This window comes from Homo sapiens, chromosome 11 (genome assembly GCF_000001405.40).
Source record: "Homo sapiens chromosome 11, GRCh38.p14 Primary Assembly".
In the NCBI taxonomy this organism is placed as follows: Eukaryota; Metazoa; Chordata; class Mammalia; order Primates; family Hominidae; genus Homo; species Homo sapiens.
The window spans coordinates 70,028,345-70,050,969 of NC_000011.10; the positions used below are offsets into that span (position 1 = coordinate 70,028,345).

At 46.1% G+C, this 22,625-nt stretch overlaps 1 protein-coding gene across 4 annotated transcripts in view, besides 1 other annotated feature; it reads left to right on the forward strand.

The window, feature by feature from the left end:
• ANO1 (anoctamin 1) overlaps positions 1–22,625 on the forward strand; it is a 223,534-nt gene that overhangs the window by 62,348 nt on the left and 138,561 nt on the right. The window lies entirely within an intron of this gene.
• Positions 6,795–7,334: an enhancer, noted in NCBI's record as "H3K27ac-H3K4me1 hESC enhancer chr11:69881245-69881784 (GRCh37/hg19 assembly coordinates)". NCBI's record gives its function as "activates a minimal SCP1, AML or CMV promoter by ChIP-STARR-seq in naive H9 embryonic stem cells {active_cell/tissue: H9 hESC(naive)}" and the evidence as "EXISTENCE:reporter gene assay evidence [ECO:0000049][PMID:30033119]".

Sequence of the window (22,625 nt, forward strand, 5' to 3'; positions counted from 1 at the left end):
AGTCCATGTCCGGATGTCAAGCCCAGAGGTCCAATTCTGAAGTCCACACTCTGCCACCCCAGGGACAACATGCTGACTTCACTCCCCTCCTGACTGGCTCCTTCTGCCCTCCCCCACCCCCAGTTCTACTGCCTGATCCCTGACAGGCCAGCACTGAGACTTTAAAATGACTCAATTGATGGTCTCTCCTGGACAGACACTCCCTCAGCTCCATCATGTCTGAATCCCCAAAATCCAGCTCCTGAGTCTTCAGGCTCCCCAACCCCCACCACACCCCAGAGCTGAAGCTTCCCCTCCTTCTCCTAATAGGGCCTCCTTCCTCCCTGTCTGGGTCTTGAAGGGCGCGAGCATAGCAGGGGCAGACTTGGGTCCTCTGCTCCGTGCTCTGACAGATCGTGGAGGTGGGACCGCCTCTCTGTCAAGCCAGATCCTAAGTTTCTGGTGTTTTGCTTTTTGAGATGAAATCTTGCTTTGTTGCCCGGGCTAGAGTGCAATGGTACGACCTCAACTCACTGCAACCTCTGCCTCCTGGGTTCAAGTGATTCTCCTGCCTCAGCCCTCCAAGTAGCTGGGAAGACAGGCGCCCACCATCACGCCTGGCTAATTTTTGTATTTTTAGTAGAGATGGGATTTCACCATGTTGGCCAGGCTGCTCTCGAACTCCTGACCTCAGGTGATCCACCCACCTCGGCCTCCGAAAGTGCTGAGATTACAGGCATGAGCCACTGCGTCCAGCCCAGATCCTAAGTTTCTTGAAGGCAGGGCTCTGCTGGGTCCCTGGCAGCCCCTGTGGGTGCTCGATGCATGAATGGCACAAGCTTCACTGGGGTGATGGGTGAGCAAATGAGGCACGAGCAGAGCCTTCCATGCCTGGTGGTGGGGTTGTCCTGTGGTGCTTTCCCTCCTTTGCAGGCAAAGGGGCACCCTCTTCCCTCTGCACACAGGCCTGCTCTGCGCAAAGATGAGGCCTCCCCCATGAGCTGGGCCTGTGCAGTTGCCCTGCCCAGGGGAGAGCTGACTCATTCACAGCCCTCAAAAGCCCACTCGGCTCATTTGCTTCAAGAGCCATTTGTAGGGGGTGTTTCCTGGGGCCAAGTGCTGCTGCCAGCTGAATTGACTGGTGCTGGCTGCTGGCAGGGAGGAGTCTCCACCCCCAGATGACCTCAATCCTTTCTCCCAGCAAACTTTCAACCCACCAGTCACTGTAGCCTGATCAGGGTCAAAGCCATGAAGGTCACGGCCACGGCACAGGCCTCTGAGGGCGCCCAGGTGCTCTGGAGGGACAGTGTGTGTCCCGCTTCCTGCAACGACTGTAACAAATTTCCACAAACTGGTGGCTTAAGACAGCAGAAATGTGTTCTCCCACGGTTCTGGAGGTGAGAAGTCTGGAATGAGAGTGTGAGCAGGCCACACTCCCTCTAGAGGCCCTGGGGCAGGGCCCTTCCTGCCTCTTCGAGCTTCCCGGGCTCCAGGCGTTCCTCAGCTTGAGCTGCATCACTCCAGCCTCTTCCTCGGTCTTCACTGGGCCTTCTCTCTCCTCTGTGTGTCTGTGTCCTGTGTCCAAATTTCCCTCTTCTTATAAAAACTCCACTCATTAGATTAGGGCCACTGGAGGAGTGGGTCAAGAGGGCACTCCCCTCTGGGGAAGGCAGGCTGGCACAGCTTTTTGGAGGGAGGCAAATGGCTCCTAGGTGGTGCCACCAGGAGGGGTGGGGAGGGTACCTTTGCTCAGGGCAGAGGGAAACAAAAGCAAAAACCAAGTCCTGCTTGTGGGAGGCCCTGGCCCTCTCAGGGAAGCGAAAGTTGCTCAGTCTCCAAAAACACTTGGCCTGAGATGACCGAAGACGCCTTGGGGGCTGCAGCCCAGGCTTATTGCTTTGGAAGTCACCGGCTGTGGGAAATTGGCATCTGGAGCCGAGAGCCAGCCAGGGCTGCTGATGTGGCTGCCGGGGATGAGGACTGGGCAAAGGTATCGGGTTCTCCCTTCTCAGCCCATAAACCGGACTCCTTGAGCCCAGACTGTAGCTCGGAGCTGCTATGTTGGTTTCCTGGGGCTGCTGTAACAAATGAACACACACTTAGAGGCTGAAAACAATAGAAATTCATTCTTTTCAGCCCTGGAGGTCAGAAGTCCACAGTGAATCTTAGGGGGTAAAACCAAGTCATCCGCAGGACTGGTCCCTTCACAGGCTCCGTCCCTGCCGCTTCCAGATTCTGCTGGTGTCAGCGACGCTGGGCTGGTGGCTGCATTACCCAGCTCTCTGCCATGTCCTCTCTGTCATCAGCTCTCCTCTGCCTCTTGTGTTACAAGGGCTCTTGTGGTGACATTAGGACCCACCCGAATAATCTCCCCATCTCAAAGTCCTTAATGTCATCATATCTATTAATACAAAGCACTTTTGCCACGTAAGGCCACACAGTCACAGGTTCTGAGGATGGGAACATGGACATCTCTGGAGGCCAATATCCAGTCGATGGCCACCCCTCCACCAGCTGGAAGGATCCCACAGAGGCAGAAGGAAGAGAAACACCCCCCGTTTTAATTGACAAACTGTGGTTTTATGCATTCACGAGGTTCAATGTGATGTGGTGGTTTCGTTTTGTTTTGTTTCTGGCTTGAGACAGAGCCTCACTCTGTCATCCAGGCTGGAGTGCAGTGGCACAATCTCAGCTCACTGCAACCTCTGCCTCCTGGGTTCAAGTGATTCTCGTGCCTCAGCTTCCTTAGTAGCTGGGATTACAGGCATGTGCCACCATACCCAGCTAATTTTTGCGTTTTTCGTAGAGATGGAGTTTCACCATGTTGCCCAGGCTGGTGTCGAATTCATGGTCTTGAGTGATCCTCCCACCTTGGTCTCCCCAAGTGCTGGAATGACAGGTGTGAGCCACTGATCCAGGCCTCAATGTGATGTTTTCATATATGTATACAACATGGTATCATCAAATCAAGCTAATTAGCATATCTATCACCTCATCCTCCTTTCATTGTTTGGGGTGAGACATTTGAAACATTTGAAATTCTCTGCTATTTGGAAATGGGTAATAGCATACTATTGACTGCAGTCCCTCTGGTGTGCTATAAGTGGAAAGGCCCCGTGCCTCCTGCCTATCTGAAACTTTGTATCCTTTGATTGGCAATTCTCCTTCCCTCTTTCCCATCCCCTTGCCTCTGGTTGCCCTGGTTCCACTCTTTACTTCTGTGAGTTCAACCTTACTAGATTGCACACATTCAAGGTGAGCCGTTGAGGGCCAGAGTGGGGACCAAGAGACTGGTGGGAGGGAGGGACCTCGTGCCCAAGCCAGGGGGATGAGGGTACAGAGATGAGCAGGATAGTCTCCAAAGACCCCTTCAGTGCTCTGAGGCGCAGTGGCTGTCACTGCCGCTGTCACTACAGGTGTTGACCGGGCACCAGGGCACACCTGAGCACTGGCCAGGCCGCCAGCCGACTCTCAGGCATCAATTTCCTTGGATGCTTCCGACGTACATCCACACTGGCCAGCAAGCCTCCTCTGGCATCAGGGAGTGTCCTTCCTGCCTGCAGAAGCACCTTGAACTCCCGGGGCCCAGGGAATCTGTGTGGCACCGGTCCCCTCACTGGCACCCAACCCCCCCTCCTCACGGTCCATCATTTACTCACTGCTTCGTTGGACATATTCACTGTGGCTACTCTGTGATAGGCCCTCTGCAGGGTGCCAGACACTCAGGGAGAGGACAGACGTGGCCCCTGCCCATGAAGCTTGCAGTCCAGGGAGGAAGGAGGAGGCAGGAAAGGACCTGGGCTGTTAGAACCATTTCCAACTGTGGTCTGTGCTGTGAAGGACGGAAATGCAGGATGAGGTAGTGGGTCCTGGGAAGGCTGGGGCAGCATGACCCCAGATTAGGTCTGATCATCTCCTCTGTCAGGAGAGAAGCAGTCTCATTGTGGACGGACTGCAGGCCCAGGGCTGGGAAGGGCCTGGCAAGTTTGAGGACCAGAAAAGAGACCCCAGTGATGGTCGTCGGGGAGAGGCGGGTGCAGGCAGGTGCCCCTGGGAGAAGCTGGGAATCTACCTCAAAGGCCCAGGGCAGCCTTTTCAAGTAGCTGAAGAAGCTGGTGTGATTCTGTCTGGAGAGGACTCCCTGGGTGGGGAGAGGAGATTAGTGGGAAGGGAGCAAAAAAGATGGGAGAGTGAGCAGAGGGAGGCGGGAGAGGGGGGGGGTCTCTGAAGGGTAGAATCCGCAGAACCCACTGTGAAGGGGTGGGCAAGGGAGGAGCCCACAACAGTGTCTGAGTGGCCAGTGGTGCCGTTTACTGAGACGAGGCCCCCGGACTGTGGCTTCTGCCCATCTGGAAGAAGGAAGAACAGCTCCAGGGTCCTTGCGCTGATTTAACCTCATCTGTTCATCTGGGTGTGAAGGAGAGCTGCCTTTTTTGTCTTCAAATTGGGAAGATGATGCAGGTTCTTTGTAAAAGAAAAAACAGAACACATAGGAGGAGGAGGGAAAGAAGTGGAGGGAAAGAGGGAAAGTAGAAGGGTGGATGGAGGGAGAAAGAGAAGGAGGGAGAGAGAGAAGGGAGAAAGGGAGGAAGGAGGAATAAATGAACAGAAACTGAACCACCACAGAAGGAATGAGTGAAAGCCTCCCTGGGTGAGGACCAGGCACACGGCGTGCCCGGTTCCCTTATGGATGCTCTTTCACGTGGTACAAATTTGCACAGGTCCCTTTAACGACATCTTGTGATCTTGTGTCTCCAGCTCGATGGGTGTGAGCCAGGGAAAGACAAGAGCTCGGTGATGTAGATCCAGGGGTCAGGCTCCGGGTTTGGGGCCTTCACGGGGCGGTTTCACTTGATCTTCTCATCAGACCCTGCCAAGGGACCTGCTTGCTCCCGTTTTCCTGACAAGGAAGCTGAGACTTGGGGAAATGAAGTCATTTTCCCAAAGCCATAGAAGGCGCAGGTGGGACTGGACCCAGCTCTTCTCTGTGGTTCCAACAAACCCTCCAAGATCGAGAGTCTACATCAGCAAAACCCGCTTTCATTCATGATTCACTTCGCCACTGAGTGCGTATCTGTTCCACTCCTGCCTATGAGGGTCTGTGGGAATGTGAGGATGAATTCCACCTCAGTTCCCTCCAGGCTCCTGCCTTGGGTCTCTGATATCGTGTTGCACTATGATGCTTCTGTGTCCCCTCCAGCCTGAGGCGTCTATGAGGACAGAGAATAGCTTTCTCTTCTCCCTGTGGCCTTATGGTTAGCACATGCCTGGTGCATAGTAGGTGGTCGGCAAAGCTTTGTTGGATGGATGGCTGCAGGAGCACATGGATGGGGGATGCCTGCCTTCAAGGAACTCACAGATGTATAGAGCAGGGGATGGCAAACTCCCATCCATAGGCCATTTGTATAAATCAGACTTTATTGAAACATGGCCATGCTCATTCATTCCATATTGTCTGTCTGCTTTTGCATTAGAGTGGAGTCATTGCCAAGAGGCCAATACAGGTTCGCTTCGTGGGTATGTGACCTGTACAGTTGTATAGTTGTATGGGGTCTGTGTCACCATCTTGAACATCTGCTGTCACTATCTTGACCATCTGCTGTCACTATCTTGAAATAAGTAAGAATTCATACAAATGGCCTATGGATGGGAGTTTGCCAACCCCTGCTCCGTACATCTGTGAGTTCCTTGAGGGCAAGCATCCCCCATCCATGCGCTCTTGCAGCCATCCATTCAACAAAGCTTTGCCAACCACCCACTACGCAAACCCTGTAATTTCATTGCGCATGGAGCCCCACCCATTACGTAGCAGGTCCTCTGCATATGAACCATAAAGCCTAAAAATCTTACCATCTGGCCCTTTACAGAAAAAGTCAGCCGATACCTAGCCTAGAAAATCAAACAGGCCCCTGACTTATGACAAATTCAAGCTAGAAAGTGCCACATGCTGTCGGGAGGGGCAGGCACAGTGTCTCAGGAGTCTGCAGGACAGAGAAACCCCTCATAGCTGAGGGGCTCAGGAAGCTTTCTAGACGTGATGACTGCAGCAGCCCTGGGCACCTTGAGGCATCCGGCGGTTGGGTGGAAGACACAAATATGGACAGACCACAAGGGCAGCTCAGATACCACCATGCCAGGAGAGGGAGTCAACCTTTCTTCTTTCATGATCAAAGCAAAGTATGTAAAAAACCAACAAAAATTATTCATCTAGAAGAGAAGAGGAGCAATTATGCATTGATTTCTGTCCACCTGCCCTGGCATTTATTTTGCTGTTGTAGCCGCAAGCTTGGATGGTCTCTACTGCAGGAGAGGGGCTGGCTGCAGGCACTGCATATACAGAGGATATAGGCAAAGGGCATCAGAAGGAGAAAATCCCTGTGAGGATGAGCAGAGAGCTAAGGCACTCTTCCCAAACCCCCCACATAAAGAAGCGCAAGGTTCTGCACAAGTGATAGTTTAAAATATTGGGGCTTTTGCACTTAACGCAAAAGACAAAGACAAAAAAGAACATTTGAACACACAGGGGCAGCCAGAGGCAGGAAAGCCTGAACAGAGCCCAGCAGGGACTCTGCTTAGTCAATATTTGCTGTATTGACAAACTATTGTTCTTGCCGCATCCCAGACCAGGAAGGGGCAGAACAACAGGATCTAGTGGGCCACACCTTCCTCTCTGCAGCCAAGTGGGCTCCTATGTTGGGGGACCCCATGGGACTCGGTGCTGTTAGACACTCCAAGGACCAGGGGTGCAGTGGTACCACAGCCCCTCTTGGCCAAGCCTCCTTTTCTTTCCTGGAAATCCCCAGTGGGGCTGTGCACAGGGAAACAAGGTGCTGCTTTCCAGCCAGCCGAGAGCTATGACCCGTGGAGCTGCCTGGCAGCGGGACCAGGGCTAGTGTCAGGTCCAGCCCTCCAGGAGGATTGTGTCCACCCATGCAGACATCAGCTGCCGATGGCCAGCTAGGAGTGTGTTGGGAGAAGACTCAGCAGCTGAGCGTGTGGAGAGAAAAGGAAGGGGCCAAGCCCTGCGCTGGCGAACTTTTCACTTATTATGACCCTGCTTTTTTTTTCTTTAAGCAAAACCAAAATAATAATTCATTACTTTGTAGATTATTTCTTCTTTCTATACATATTACCTGACCTTTGTCCTATTCTTGCAAATTCTCAACCATTTTAACTGGTAGCCCAGTAAGCTGTTGCTATATATATATATATATACTTTAAGTTCTGGGATACATATGCAGAACGTGCAGGTTTGTTACATAGGTATACAGGTGCATTGGTGGTTTGCTGCACCCATCAACTCATCATCTAAGTTTTAAGCCCTGCATGCATTAGGTATTTGTCCTAATGCTCTCCCTCCCCTTGCTCCCCACCCCCTGACAGGCCCTGGTGTGTGAGTGCCCATGTGTTCTCATTGTTCAATTCCCACTTATGAGTAAGAACATGCGGTGTTTGGTTTTCTGTTCCTGTGTTAGTTTGCTGAGAATAATGGTTTCCAGCTTCATCCATGTCCCTGCAAAGCATATGGACTCATTCTTTTTTATGGCTGCATAGTATTCCATGGTGTATATGTGCCACATTTTCTTTATCCAATCTATCATTGATAGGCATTTAGGTTGATTCCAAGTCTTTGCTATTGTAAGTAGTGCTGCAATAAACATACATGTGCACGTGTCTTTATAGCAGAATTATTTATCATCCTTTGGGTATATACCCAGCTGTAGGAGTCTCCTGAGACTGTTGTAACAAACCACCATCAACTGGGGGCCTTCAGCAACAGAAATTTATTCCCTCACCATTAGGAGGCCAGAAGTCCAAAATCAAGGTGCCAATCAGGCCACACTCCCTTGGAAGGATCTGGAGTAGAATCCTTCCTTGCCCCGTACAGTCCCTGGTGACTCCAGGTGTCCCTTGGCTAAGGCACATCACCCCAATCTCTGCCGCTGTCTTTACCTGGCCTTTTCCTCTTCTACCTGTGTCTCTCCTCTGTGTGTCCTTTACAGTTGTCCCTGGATTTGGGGGTCACTTGGATAATCCAGGGTGATCTCATCTTGAAATTCCTAATTACTCTATAAAACCCTCATTTCAAATAAGTTCACGGTCACAGGTTCTGAGGTTAGGGCATAGGCTCAGTTTTCTGGGGTACTGCTCAGCCCACTGGTAAGGAAGGCCTGCTCGGTGACTCTTCCTCCTTGACAATAAAGACAAAAAGGGCTGAGGACCCTCTCTCTTCTATGCTGGCCCTGATGTCTGACTGTGTGTGGTTTGTTTGTGTTTTTGTTTTGTTTTGTTTTGTTTTTTTAAGACAGAGTCTCGCTTTGTCGCCCAGGCTGGAGTGCAGTAGCACGATCTCGGCTCACTGCAAGCTCCACCTCCCGGGTTCATGCCATTCTCCTGCCTCAGCCTCCCAAGTAGCTGGGACTATAGGCACCCGCCACCACACCCGGCTAATTTTTTGTATTTTTAGTAGAGATGGGGTTTCACCGTGTTAGCCAGGATGGTCTCAATCTCCTGACCTCGTGATCTGCCCGCCTCAGCCTCCCAAAGTGTTGGGATTACAGGCGTGAGCCACCGTGCCTAGCCTGTATGTGGTTTTTTACATGCCTGCCTTTCTCTCCCGAGGCTGGGGCCATGTCTCAGGCATGTCTGTGTGCTCAACATCTCAGGCAGCAGCTGTGCCTGACTGTCACTCAATAAACATGTGTGCAACGAACAAATGAATGACTTGTAGGGTTCCTTCCTCTCTCATCTGTCGGCCTTTAGTGCCATCCATCTTCCCTAACACAGAAGTCCCTGCCTTCAAGAGGTACACCCAGGTGGAAGTGCCTCTCGGAACTCCACCCTGAGAAATCCAGCTTAGGCGGCCCAGCCTGTTTTGCTCCTCCTGATTGAGATTTGCAGGCAGGGAAGGACAGGTGTGACAGGGACCTGGGCAATACTCAGTGGAGCAGGGCAGGTGGGGGTTTGGAATTGGTCTCAGGAGCTGTTGGGAACTGTGGAGAAAGAGAAGAATTGGGATTTGGGAATAGTTAATGTATAGGGGTGGTTGGAACAAATGAGCAAGATATGATTACAAATGGGGCTATGGAGGACCAAGCTCACCTTCTGAGGACACCACACGCAGAAAGCAAGCAGAGAAAGGAAAGGCAGGAGACCATCGCGGGGCAGAGGGAGGCCCAAGCATGAAGGTGGGTCACAGACGCCAAGGAAGGACCCAGGTGGCCTAGTGGGAAAACACAACCTTCAAGGGCAAGCCAGCATGGATGCAAACCTGCCTCTACTGCATGACAGCTGAGGGGTCCCTGGGAGAGGCGCTCCCTGAGCCTCAGCTTTGACTTCTGAAAAGGTTGCTTGAAGACTTGAAACTCTATACCCGAAGCACCTCATGGAACAGCTGCCAGGAAACCCGGTTTTTTCTGCTTGTTGAGTACTCACTAGGCGCTGGGCTCTGGGCAAGTAGTTTACCACATAGTCATTTGACTCTCACATCAACCCCTGGGATGAGCACAATTACTGCCATTTGCAGCTGGGGAAACTGAGGCAGGTAAGAAACTTGTCTATGGTCACTCATCTTATTCCATGGCAGGGTCTTGAATTACAACCCAAGGAGAAAGCAGTGAACTGCTACTCCTGCTGCAAAGAAAAGGTGAGTGAGCATGAGGATTAAAACGTGACTGTCGTGGCCAGTCGCAGTGGCTCATGCCTGTAATTCCAGCACTTTGGGAGGCTGAGGCAGGAGGTTTGTGTGAGGAATGGAGAAGTTCTTCTTCAAAGTTTCTTAAAACCATAAAGAGCTTGTCATTTCTTTGCTCTATGCATATCTATATATGTTCCAATGCAGCTGCTCTGACTTGACCTGGCATTCTTGGACAAGGTTAAGCAAGACCCAGACCATAGTGCATGCCATTCCTTATTTGGAAACCCTCCTGACCCTCTCATGACTAGCTTCCTCTTTTCTTTGTTCTCTTTCCCCTTTGCCTATTTAGAAAAGTTTCAAGCTGTTAGCCAATCGGGTCAAGCTTAGAATGTGAGGTCCCATTCCGACCAATGGAAATGTGACACAGCCATAGGACAATTGCATCAGGTTACAAAGATTATAAACATCCCCATCTCCTTTGTTCGGGTGTGCTCTCACGGCAAGACTGCTAGTGAGCAGCACCCTTTCTGCAGAAAGTAAACTAGCCTTGCTGAGAGATCCTTTGTCTCAGTGTTGATTTTGCGACACCGAGCACCCATTTCCAACAATTTGGTGGGCCATACAGGGACTCTGTTTCCCCTCTGGGACAGTCCTTGGTCCTCTCTTGTGGGGAGGTGCCCTGCCACCCTATTGCAGTGGCCCCCAGGGAGAGAGCCAGGACTTACCTGGTGCAAGAAACACATTTGGATTCTCAGCAATGCAGGGGAGAAGGAGAGACTTTCAAAACCGCAGGACCAGAAGACCTCGTGCATGAGCCAAGGTAGGAAAAACCTCAGAGGAGCAGTAAAGTACTTCCTTGATGGTCAGTTCTCGAAGGGAATGTGTGTATGAGTGAATGGTTTCAGTTAAGACAGAGTGAGTGTGAGAGGAGTGTGTATAACCTTCGGGAGAGAAAATAGAAGGGGGAAGGGTTATCTCCCAGGGAAAAAGCAATACAGGAGAAAAAATGGAAGAGAGAAAGGTTATCTCTCAGGGAAAAAGGATACAGGCAAGATATTTCTGGGGTAAGAAATTTAGCCTTAAAAAAGCCATTAAGGATAGGACAGGCAAGACATCCCTGGTCTGGAGGATCTGGGGGATTGAGTCTGCTGGGAAAGGTTTTCATCCAACATGGGGAATACTTCTAGTAAGTCTGGAATAGGAAGTAAGGCAGGTAACAAAGGAGATCAGAGTGATCGAATCCTTCCTGATAGTCCTTTAGGACTCATGCTTAAACACTGGAAAGAGAACAAAAGGACCAAACATAAGAAAAAGCAACTAATGATTAAGTACTGTTGCTTTCTTTGGACCCAAGAGCTTATTTTGAAACCTGCCATCTTCTGGCCGAAATATGGCTCAGATGAAGACCAGGTATGCCAACTTTTAATAATGTATGTTAATAGCAAAACTCCTGCATCCTCAATTATGCCCTATGCTGGCAGCAAGGGCAGGTTTCTCTTTATCCCTTGAAGGACTTAAAACAAGAAATAGATGCAGGCAAAAAGTCAGAAAGTATCCAGTAGGACCCTTTAAACCATCTTCCCCCTTTTCTAGTCCCACCTCCCCTTCCGCAGGTGGTAGTCCTACCTCCCCTTCCGCAGGTGGTAGTCCTACCTCCCCTTCTGCAGGTGGTAGTCCTACCTCCCCTTCCGCAGGTAGTAGTCCCACCTCCCCCTCCACCTCAAGTGACTATTCTGATTCTGGAAGAGGGCGTCCAGAAGTCCCTGAAGAGCATGATCGCTGTCATTTCTCTTCAAAATGAGGACTCCAAAGAGCAATAGAACAATGCAGAAAGGATATTCAGAATCTTCCCTTTCCTCCCACTTCCAAAGAGCCAGCTTTTCAGCTCTTTCCTCTAAAGGAAGTGCCACAAGGTGGGGGTGCAACTGGATTCATAAATCCCCCCTTAACTGCTCCTGAAATTCAGGGTCTAAAGAAAGAACTCAAGCCTCTGCTAGATGACCCAGAAGGAGTAGCAGAGCAAATCGATCAGTTTTTAGGTCCCCAACTATATTCCTGGACCAAATTAATGTCGATCCTGGGTATTCTCTTCTCAAAGGAAGAGTGAAACATGATTCACAGAGCTGCTATGGCAGCCTAAGAACGTGATCACCCTGCCAGCCAAGATAATCTGGCAGCGGATACCAAATTCCCTGCTCAAGACCCACAATGGGATAATAATAATGCAGCTCATTGGGAAAATATGGAAGATTTGTGTGAGCTAATCATAAGGATTAAAGAGTCTGCACCCAGACCACAAAACCTTACTAAGGTTTTGTGTCTTACTAAGGTTTTGATGTGCAGCAAGAGAAAGACAAAGGGCCCATGCACTTTTTAGACAGGTTGAGAGAACAGACGAGAAGGTATGCTGACTTAGATCCTAATAGTCCTCTAGGGCAAGGTATGTTAAAATTACATTTTGTTACAAATTATTGGCCAGATATTGCAAAAAAGTTACAAAAGATAAAGGAGTTCGAGAGTGGCCTGGCCAACATAGTGAAACCCGTCACTACTGAACACATAAAAATTAGTCGGGCATGGTGGCACGCACCTGCAATCCCAGCACTTGGGAGGCCGAGACATGACAATCGCTTGAGCCTGGGAGGCGGAGTTTGCTGTGAGCCAAGATTGTGCCACTGCACTCCACCCTGGGTGACAGAGCGAGACTCTGTCTCAAATAGAATAAAATAAAATGTGACTATTGGATGAGGCAGTTCAGAGCCCGGTCGAAGGACACTGACTGCTGCAGCACGATCTGTGAAGACAGGTCAATCAGAGCAGATGGAGCTGCCTTGGAAAGGAGACTATGAAGCCATCTGAAGGCCAGGGCTATGAATGAACAGCTGCACAGATTCCATGTGCTGTCAGAAAACAGAACTTAGAAGAAAAGGTGTAAGTCTTAAAGAAGCCATCAGCAAATGTCAAGTTGAACAAAGAACTTTCTAAGCATCATAGCTCGAGGGCCCTGTCAGTGGAGAGGTTCTGGGAGCTTGGTGGGGACCTGATGGACAGGGTTCAGGCACTGATTAAGGTTTAAAGAAGGGGGACTCTCCATTGCCCTCCAGCCCTGAGACTCCATGAGGCTGTGATGCTTTGGGGCACACCCACCCCACCCCATGTGTGACAGTAGGGGCAGGGGATGCCGACCTCAGCTCCCCTAAATCACAAGCAACATTGGCAACCACATCACATTTCAATTTATCTGCAAAAAAATAAATGGGTCTTGTGAGTGCTATTTGGCAGTTGCAAACAGGAGAGGGCAAGTAAATTAATGTTTTCTGTGAACCTTGACCCCTGGATCACAAAGCAAGGGTTTACCCCTCATACCAATATTTACTCTTTTTATTCGATATTTCACATCTGGGTTTGTGTCATTGATTTTTTGCATGGGGACATTTATACATGGAATATTGAGATTGGAGATTTAAATTTACACACGCACAACTATTTAGGCTGGGGGAAAACTGACCTCTAGACTCACACACACATTTAAGTGATGGTTTAAATTGCCACATTTCATCCAGTTGGCAGAACTATGTAGAAAGAACTAAACTGACTTTCATGAAAAGATGTGAGCTCAAATAACAACAACAGCAGCAACATAATAGCAGTAGGTATTCGTGTAAGCACCACAGGGGCAGACATTTTTGTCTGTTTTGATAGCTGCTGTAATCCCCAGCATCTAGAACAAACCCTGGTGGGAAGGAGGTTCTCGGTGAAAATATGTTGAAAAAACAGTAATCCTGCTGTACTTCCTTCCCTATTAGTAGAGGATGTTGGAGGAAATTTTCTGTAACCTGCAATGTTTTCTTTCAAGAGGAAAGAACAGGGGAACTCTCCTCAAGTTCCTGGTTATTTTCCTGCTGTGGGTTAAACGCATATGTCTTTAATTTCTATTTTTAAAAATTTACCAACATACCATCAGCAATAAGCATGCCTATTTACTTGGATTGTGGCTTCTAACTATCATTCTCCATAAAAAGGAACTAGGGCACCTCAGAGAAATGACTGATACCTGGGCTGAGGTAGGAAAAGCACAGGAGAGGCTTGAGCATCAGTGTGCATGAGAAAGCAGGGGTGAGCTCGATGGTCGTAAGAACACAGCAGAAGGATGCATGAGAGGCTCGCAATTCTGACCATAATGTAGTAACAGGGGTCAGACTTAATCTGTCCCTTCCCCAGCCTTAAGCAACAAACAGACAAAATATAGGAAGCAGTGGCTTTGAAATGTGGGACAGCAGCCCTGAGGCAGCTCAGGGCTGATTCCTGAGAAAAGTGAAGCAAACAAGTTGAAGGCATGAAAATTGTCCAATCTTCCTTCCTAGAGGTAGTTTTCAGGCTGCAGCACAGGGAGAGGAACTCAGGCAGCCAAGCAGTCTCACTGTATTGAAGACAAAAAGATTAGAGTTCAAGGAGCCCAAAAAGTTAAAGTGTGTGAATCAGAATACCCAAGAGGGGGATGTTGCATTCATGCATGCGTGCGTATGCACGCACACACACACATACATATACACAGAGAGAGAGAGAGAGAGAGAGAGATTGAGAGATTGAGAGAGAGAGAGAGAGAGAGAAATCTGCAGAGAGGTGCCCTTAAGTCTTTGGCTGAGTACTAATCTACATAAGCATGAGAGGAAACTACCCAGGGCTAGGGAAAGAACCACCAGAAGATAGTAGATTCAGCACTTCTGAGGGCTTACAGAGGGCTGGGAATAGCTCATGGTCTCACCAGCTGAGGTGAAAAGATCCACAGGGCATCACTGAGCAGGATTCCCAGAAGAGTATCATCGGGATTCAAGGCTTCTCTGTATCTGCCCTATCAAAGTGTAGGAGCAAACCCTGAATGGATTCGATGGATTCTAAGCAACTTAACTGCATGCTCATACAGATTCTAACACGAATTAAAGAACAAGCAACAAAATCTAGCACTCAACAACATAAAATTTTAATGTCTGGCATTTAATAAAAAATTAGCAGGCAAGCAAAGAAGTGAGAGAATATGACACATAACTAAAAGAAAAAATAATCAATAGAAACAGACCCAGAAATGAGACAAATGATAACACTGGAAGAAAAGAATATTAAAATGATTAAAAGTGTGCTGCATCTGTTCAAAAAAGTAGAGGGAATCATGAACTGATAAGGAAAAGAATGAAAGCTATTTTTGAAAAAATCCAAATGGAACTCCTATGGTTGAAAACTACACAGAATGGGAGTAACAACAGATAGGGTACGGCAGAAGAAAGGATCAACAAAATTGAAGACATAGCAATAGAAACCCTTCAAAATAAAACACAGAGAGAAAAAACACTGGGAAAAATACACAGAACACCATAGATTTGTGGAACAATACCAAGTAGTCCAACATACCTGTGCTAAAAGTCCAAGAAATGGAAGTGGGGTGCAGAAAAAAGTATTTGAAGAAAAAGTGATAAAAAACTTTCCTTTGTTAATGAGAAGTATAAGCCCACAAATCTAAAAAGCTTAATACATTTCAATCAGAAGAAACATGAAGAAAACACACCAAGGCACATTATAATCAAACTGCTGAAAACAAGTAATAAAAAAATATTAAGAGCAGTCAGAGAAAAAGGACATATTATGTAGGGGAAGAAGAGTTTGGCATGCTTCTCATCAAAGTATATGCTAGTCAGAAGACAATGGAACAATATCTTTAAAGCATGAAAGAAACAGAACGCCAACCTAGAATTCTATACTCAGCAAAAATATATTTCAAAAATAAAGGTGAAATAAAGACTTTTACAGAAGAACAAAATCTGAGAAAATTCATTGCTAGCAGACCTATACCACAACAAATGATAAAGGAAGTTATTCAGGCAAAAGGAAAATGATAACAGATGAAATTGGGATATACACAAAAGGATGGATTGTACCAGAATTAGTATATAATAATAAATGTGCATGTTAATATAAAACGTTTTCTCAATTTTAATCTCCTTAAAAGTTAATTAGCTGTTTATACCAAAAATAATAACTGTATTATAGCACTATGACATACATAGAAATAAAATGTAATAGGACAGTAGCACAAAGGAAGGAGAGAAATGGAAGTATATTGTTGAAAGGTTTTTAAACTATATGTGAAGGGGTATAATATTTGAAAATATACCATTATAAGTTTACAACTATGTTGTAAACTCAAAAGCGACCACTAAATAAAAGTAAAATAAAGCAAAAAGTGCTAAGAATCCAACAGTAAAGATAAAATGGAATAACAAACAATATCCATTTAATACAAAAAAAGCACACATGTGCTGTATATATATTATATATCAAAATGGTAGATTTATATGCACGTTTATTAATACGTTAAATGTAAATGGTCTACACACTCCAATTAAAAGGCAGAGATTATAGTTTGAATCAAAAAGCAAAACCCAATTGTATGCTATTTCCCTCAAAGGGACAAAGAAGTCAGCTGGAAGGTGCTACCATGGGCCAGGTATAGAACAAATTATTCATCAAAATAAATAATGATAGTACTTGATTGTAACCCACTGAGTAAAATAGGAATCTATTAGTCCAAATGGAAATAAATAATGAAGAAGGAAAGTTATTATTTACAATAGAATGCCAACTTATAAATATAGAAGGAAACAATCAATAGATTCTAAAGCTAGTACTGATAGTAAATGTTTGATGAGGAACAGGATATTTACATAGTCATGAAGTATCTCCTCATCAATTTCTTATTAATTACAAAGGTCAAAATAGTGGCTGGCATATATTCTTTAAAACTGTTATGATCACAAAGGCTGTTACGATGATAAAGGCTGAAACTGTTCCGGATTAACAGAGACTAAGAAGACATGACAACTCCCTGTAATACTTGATCTTAGATTGAATCCTGGACCTGGAAAAACAAGCTGTTAAAGACATTATTGGAACAGTGCATGAGATTTGAATAAAGACTATAGATTAGATTACAGTATTGCAATGTCTTCAAACATAAAGAAATATTCAGTAAAGTATGTAGTTTTTAAATTACACTCCCATGTTTTAGGGGAAAATGCATAGATATATACAAATATAAAGATAGAACTAGAAATGGGGATATGAGAAGACAGAAACATAAGATAGAAGGCAAGTAAGAAATATAAGGTAGAACAAACTGATAAAGAAAATGTGGCAAAGCATCAACAGCTAGTGAATCCAGGTAAAGGCTAAACAGGCATTCCTTGTGCGATCTTGGCAATTTTTCTATATGTTTGGGATTATATCAATATAAAGAGTTACCAAAAACATACGTGACATACACATTTTTAAAAATCCAATATTTCCTTTTTCATTGGTAGAAGTCCAACTCACAAGTACTCTAGAAGCAAAATTTCTGAAACTGCCATGATGCCCTAGAAGTAAAATCTCTGGAACTGCCAGGATGTTAAGAAGCTCTGCTTATATAGAAAGAAAACAAATCTGAAGAATACGTTTTCTTGAGAGAAAAAATATCATCAATAATCTTCCACTCGGCCCTAAAATTCTATGATTGGTGACATTAAAGAACAACAGCAACAAAATCAGAAAATATTCCAGGCCAGGCCACCAGGGCAAATGCTTGATCTGTTCATCGATGGAGGGTCTAGCTTGTCTGGATGTGAGGCTGGACATGACTCATACAACTGATTTTTTTTTTTCCGTATCATATGGGAAGGGTGTTTAAGGGAAGATCTTCACTTTCCAAGGCTCTCTTCCCACAATATCCACGTGAAAAGATGTTTCAAGATGAGCTCTCCTCAGCAGAGCCAGAACCATACTGGCTTCAGACCAAAAGGAGGACTCCTGTGTTGTGTGAGATGGAATGGACTCATGTTAGAAAAATTGAGAAAGATATGAATGTAAGATGGTGAGGGTTTTGTTCATTTGGGAACTGGACTTTAGAGAACAAGGAATGTGCCTCACCCCTCCATCCAGTCTTTTCTTGCTCTGGACATCTAACTCATGTCAACTTAGACGACTGTTCAAAAACCAAGTGAGGGAGAGGATGGTGGAGCTCAGTCCCCAGATCACTGGGACTCTGTCCTTGAGTCTGGCCATGATTCAAGTTAACATGGGCTGCAGAGGGATGAGCAAAAAGGACTCGATGCATGACAGAGGTGCAGGAATAATTATGAAACAAAGGTTGAGCTCATTGGGTTCAGCAAAAATGCCCAGTGTTAGTCTATGTCATTGTGCCAATTTTCTGATCTTTTTAATAAAAGCTTGTATGGTTCCCTGTAAAATGATTTGCAGGACTCTTGGACTCTTTTTATTTATTCAAGCATTTGCATGCCAGGGCAAGATGGCACACACCATAGCTGGTCATTGACTGCTGTCAATCTAAGACTTCACGCCTGGGGGTGGGAGGCTGTTAACATACCTGCAGCTCTGAGACCCCCGTATTCCAGTGACAGTGGACTTGGGAGACAGCTTAGCAAAACCTACCAGGGCAAAAGAAGAGGCTAAGAGTATCTCAAAAGCAGTAAAGTGTTTGGAAGAAATAAATAAAATGTAGCTTGTTATTTCAAGCTTTTCTAGGAATATGGCCATTTGAGATTCATGAGACTACCCGGCCACTGAGAGAAGTGGCCAATTCCAGGTCCCAGGGCGAGAAAGGACTTAATGATCCTGGAGGATTTTGCTCTTCCAGGTGGCAAAGAACTCCTCAAAGCTGAATGAGTCAGGTCAGAAAGACACAGGGGCTCTTGGAGGGGCTCTTCTTGGCCAAAAATGATGCAATTTGGGCATCAAAAAGAATAATGATGTAAAATGGGATCCTGGAAAGAAAAAGGACATTAAGCTGGGTGTGGTGGTTCACACCCATAATCCCAGCACTTTGGGAGGCTGAGATGGGAGGATCACCTGAGGTCAGGAGTTCAAGACCAGCCTGGCCAACACGGTGAAACCCTGTCTCTACTAAAAATACAAAAAATAAGAATTAGCCAGGCCTGGTTCAGGCACCTGTAATTCCAGCTACTCGGGAGGCTGAGGCAGGAGAATCACTTGAGCCCAGAAGATGGAGGTTGCAGTGAGCCAAGATCACGCCATTGTATTCCAGCCTGGGTGACAAGAGCGAGACTCTGTCTCAAAAAAAAAAAAAAAAAGAAAAAGAAAGAAAGAAAAAGGACATTAAGTAAAAACTAAGAAAATCTGAATGAAGTATGAGACTTTAATAATAATATATTGTGATTGAGTATAAGGCTTTAATAATAATATATCAGGATTGGTTCATTAATTGTAACAAATACATCATCCTAATGTAAGATGTTGACAATAAAGAAAATTGGGTGTTGGGTATGAAGAAGCTCTCTACTATCATCTTATTTTTCTATAAACCCAAAAGTATTCTACAAAAATAATTTTAATTATATGGAGAAATAAGAATTATGGCTACAATAGATTGAAACACATTGGAGATATAACAATCTTTGAATGATGAGAGAGAGAGCTAACATGAGAGGCCAAAGCTCTCATAAACTATGAAGAAGATAGAAAAATTGGCTAAAGAACTCTTTCCCTTCAATGGGGATAGAGAACAAAAGACCAAAGAAAGACTCTTGATCAAGAATAACTTCTGATTATATTTTGGATCTCTAAAGAGTTTCTTCTTAACTGAAAACAGAGACAACATTTTCTGTACAATGGTTTGAATCATAATGATTCTTTTTGCCATTCAGCCTTCTCATGACACTCTAAAATAATTTTGATGATTGCATAATAAAATCATTTTTTAAAGACCCAGAAATATCTCAAAAATGGAGGCATCAGCATCAATTAGAACAGTCCCCATAGGTCCTGCCTTTTTTACCTGAGACAGGGCAAATGACAAAAAGGAAGAATGGTATTTTCTTTGGAGACATTAGGGTTTTACAAGTACTGCAGTTACAGGCAGTTTCTGGCTGGTAGGACACTTTTTGAAATAAATTGTATCGTTGTGGAATGAGAATGTTTTAAATCATAATCAAAGCCCGCTTCCAAATGCTCCAGCTTCCTGGATTCTGCTGAAACCTTCCTTGCAAAAGTTATATTGAATCTAGGTGTCCAAATTTAAAATAAAATGGCTTTTCCAAATATTTTGGTGAAAATAGAAACTTTCCGTTTTATGAGATATTATTTTTGTCTTCCATTTGCACTCAAAGTAAAACAAAATATTAAGGCTTAATTCCATTTTATTTCAACTGTTTAACTTTGCCCCTGAACTTTTAGATAAACATTTACCCAATGGTTGAACTGGTGGATTTGAATTTTTGAAACATAGTAAACATTTTCCTATTTAATAATCTATCTAGTTTCTATAAACTCTATCAGATATTTATCAGATGTTTTAGCTTCTTTTAAGGTTGAATAAAGTTTAAGGTTCACATAGATTTTTTTTTTAACAGATCAGTTTCTATTCTTTTTTTCCCCCAACTTGTTTCAAAAATGGTTATGGAAGTCATCTCTGCTTGCGCTTAATCAAGTTTTTGAGATTAGGCAATGGGGGGGTGGTGTGGTTTATCGATTAGACATAAGATTGAAGTTCAGAAAATCCAAACCTTGAAATAAATTTTGTCCTGGGATGTCTCTGTCTCTCTCTCTTCCTCTCTCTCCCCCACCTCCCTCTCTCTTTTCTACTCTGTCTGTCTCTCTGTCTCAGTTTCTCTCTCTCTGTCTTCCCACACTTCCCGCCCTCCTCCCCTTCTCCCCCTCTCCCCACTCTTCTCCACCCCCCACCGCTGACCACCCCCCAGCCCTGGTTACTGATGCACAGTTACCTTTTCCGGCCACTAGGTGCTGTTTTGTGCGTGCCGGAGACCTCTCCACATTGGTGATTGGTTTCTGCTCCTCAAGAAATTATATCCCTTGGGGGGGCCTACTTGCCTCAGCAGAAAGTGGACAGACAGGATCCTGGACAGTGTGTTTGCCAGTGGAAACAGGTTCTTCTTGAATGTCGAGGGCCACGCCTGGTGTCTTTGGATCTGTGTGTGTGTCCTGTGAACAACTGGGCATACGCTTCCCGGACAAGCAGGATGCGTTTTCTTCCTGAACCACAACTGTTTTTCACAGCAATTGCCAATGATGCTGGCCCCTGATTGCTTTCTGGTGGCTTATGAGAGGAGCTGGCTGTGACATCTCCTAGGTGGAAATCTAAGATGCATAAAGATGCCAAAAGCCCACCTCAGCAGGCTAAACCATGACCCGACATGAAGTGGGAGCTGGAAGCTCAGCTCCCACCACCAGCGCTTCTCAATGCTCCCAAGTCACCCACCGGAAACAGCAGAAGCCCCTGTAGTCATATGGCCAGCCGCTCTGGCTTTGCAGTTGACAGATCAGGTTTCAAAGCCTGACTCTGCTGTTCACAGCCAGGTGACCTTGGACAAGTGACTTTGCCTCTCTATGCCTTGGTTTCCTCATCTGTCAAACGGGGATATGATTGTCCCTGACTCAAAAGTTGTCTTGAAGATGACCAGAACAACCAGCATGAAGTACAATGCCTGCCACATAGCTGGCATGGAATAAGTGGCAGTTGGTTCATTTATTCAGCAGGTCATGCTCTGAGCACCTCCTGTGTTCCAGGAGCTGTTATGGGCAATGGGGATGGAGGATAAATGCTAAAAGGTAATGGTGGGGATAACTATTCCAGGAAGTGAGTGAATGAACGAATAAGTAAGCAATATGTCTACCTAATCTTCTATGAATCTACATGCGGTCTATGTTTTTTTGTTTGTTTGTTTGTTTGTTTGTTTGTTTTGTTTTTGTTTTTTTGAGGTGGAGTCTCACTCTGTTGCGCAGGCTGGAGTACAGTGGCGCAATCTCAGCTCACTGCAACCTCCACCTCCCTGGTTCAAGCGACTCTCCTGCCTCAGCCTCCTGAGTAGCTAGGATTTCAGGTGCCCACCACCACGCCTGGCTAATTTTTGTATTTTTAGTAGAGACAGGGTTTCACCATGTTGGTCAGGCTGGTTTAGAACTCCTGACCTCAGGTGATCCACCCGCCTTGGCCTCCCAAAGCTGGGATTACAGGCGTGAGCCATCACGCCCAGCTGCTGTCTGTGTTTTAAGCAATAGAGATGGCACCCTGGGCTGTTTTAGGAATGACTCTTCCATCCCTGGAGATGACAGACTGCATTCTGGGAAAATCTCTTGAATGTTGCCTGGAGCTTTTCCTCCTGACATGGTCCCTTCACCTGGAAACCCCTGTATCCTATTCGGGGTGCAAGATACATAATGACAAAACTAGCCAAACCCTGAAATCCATGGCAGCTGTGGTAACAGAGCTGTTTAGTACCTGTCACAGGTGAGGTTTGAATTTCGGTGACTATTGACACAGAAGTGCTGGGAACAGGCTGCAGGATTGGAGGGCCAGGTCCTCCGCCCCACAGTACAGGTGCAGGCCACGGCCCACTTACTTAGTACCTGGTCACACCATTGCTCCTGCTGCTTCTCACCCGGAGCCCCCTTCCTCGTTCCCCAGGCAGCTCCCAAGCCCAGCCCTATGGCTCCTCCTCCCTGTAGGCTTTTCCAACTTCCCCGCTCCCTGTGCTTTTCCTTTCCTTGTTGAGCTTGGTCCCACCTCCACCATCCTCAAGGTAACTGCTGCACCACTGTTGGGGGCCCCAACCCTCTCTCCTGCGCTGCCCTCAAGCTTTTCCTCCTAACTTCTATAACATCAGGAACAGTGCTCCCTGAAGGCACCTCACAAATGTTTAGTGCTTATGGTTCTAGTTCCCCTCAGGAGTAGTTAAATTAAAAGGCAGAAGACGTGGTATTTGAAGATAGGACCTGGGTTCAAATCCTACTCTGCTATTCTCTAGCTTTGTGACCTAGGGCAAGTTCACTTACATCTCTGACCTCAATTTCCTCATCTGTCAAATGGGGATACTAACAAGGTTATAGGAAAACTAAGGGAGAGGACATGCTTGGAAATTCTCTTGAGGATGGAAAGCAACGTGATGCATGGCTGACCACCAGTGTCAGCATTTACCTGGGCTTATTT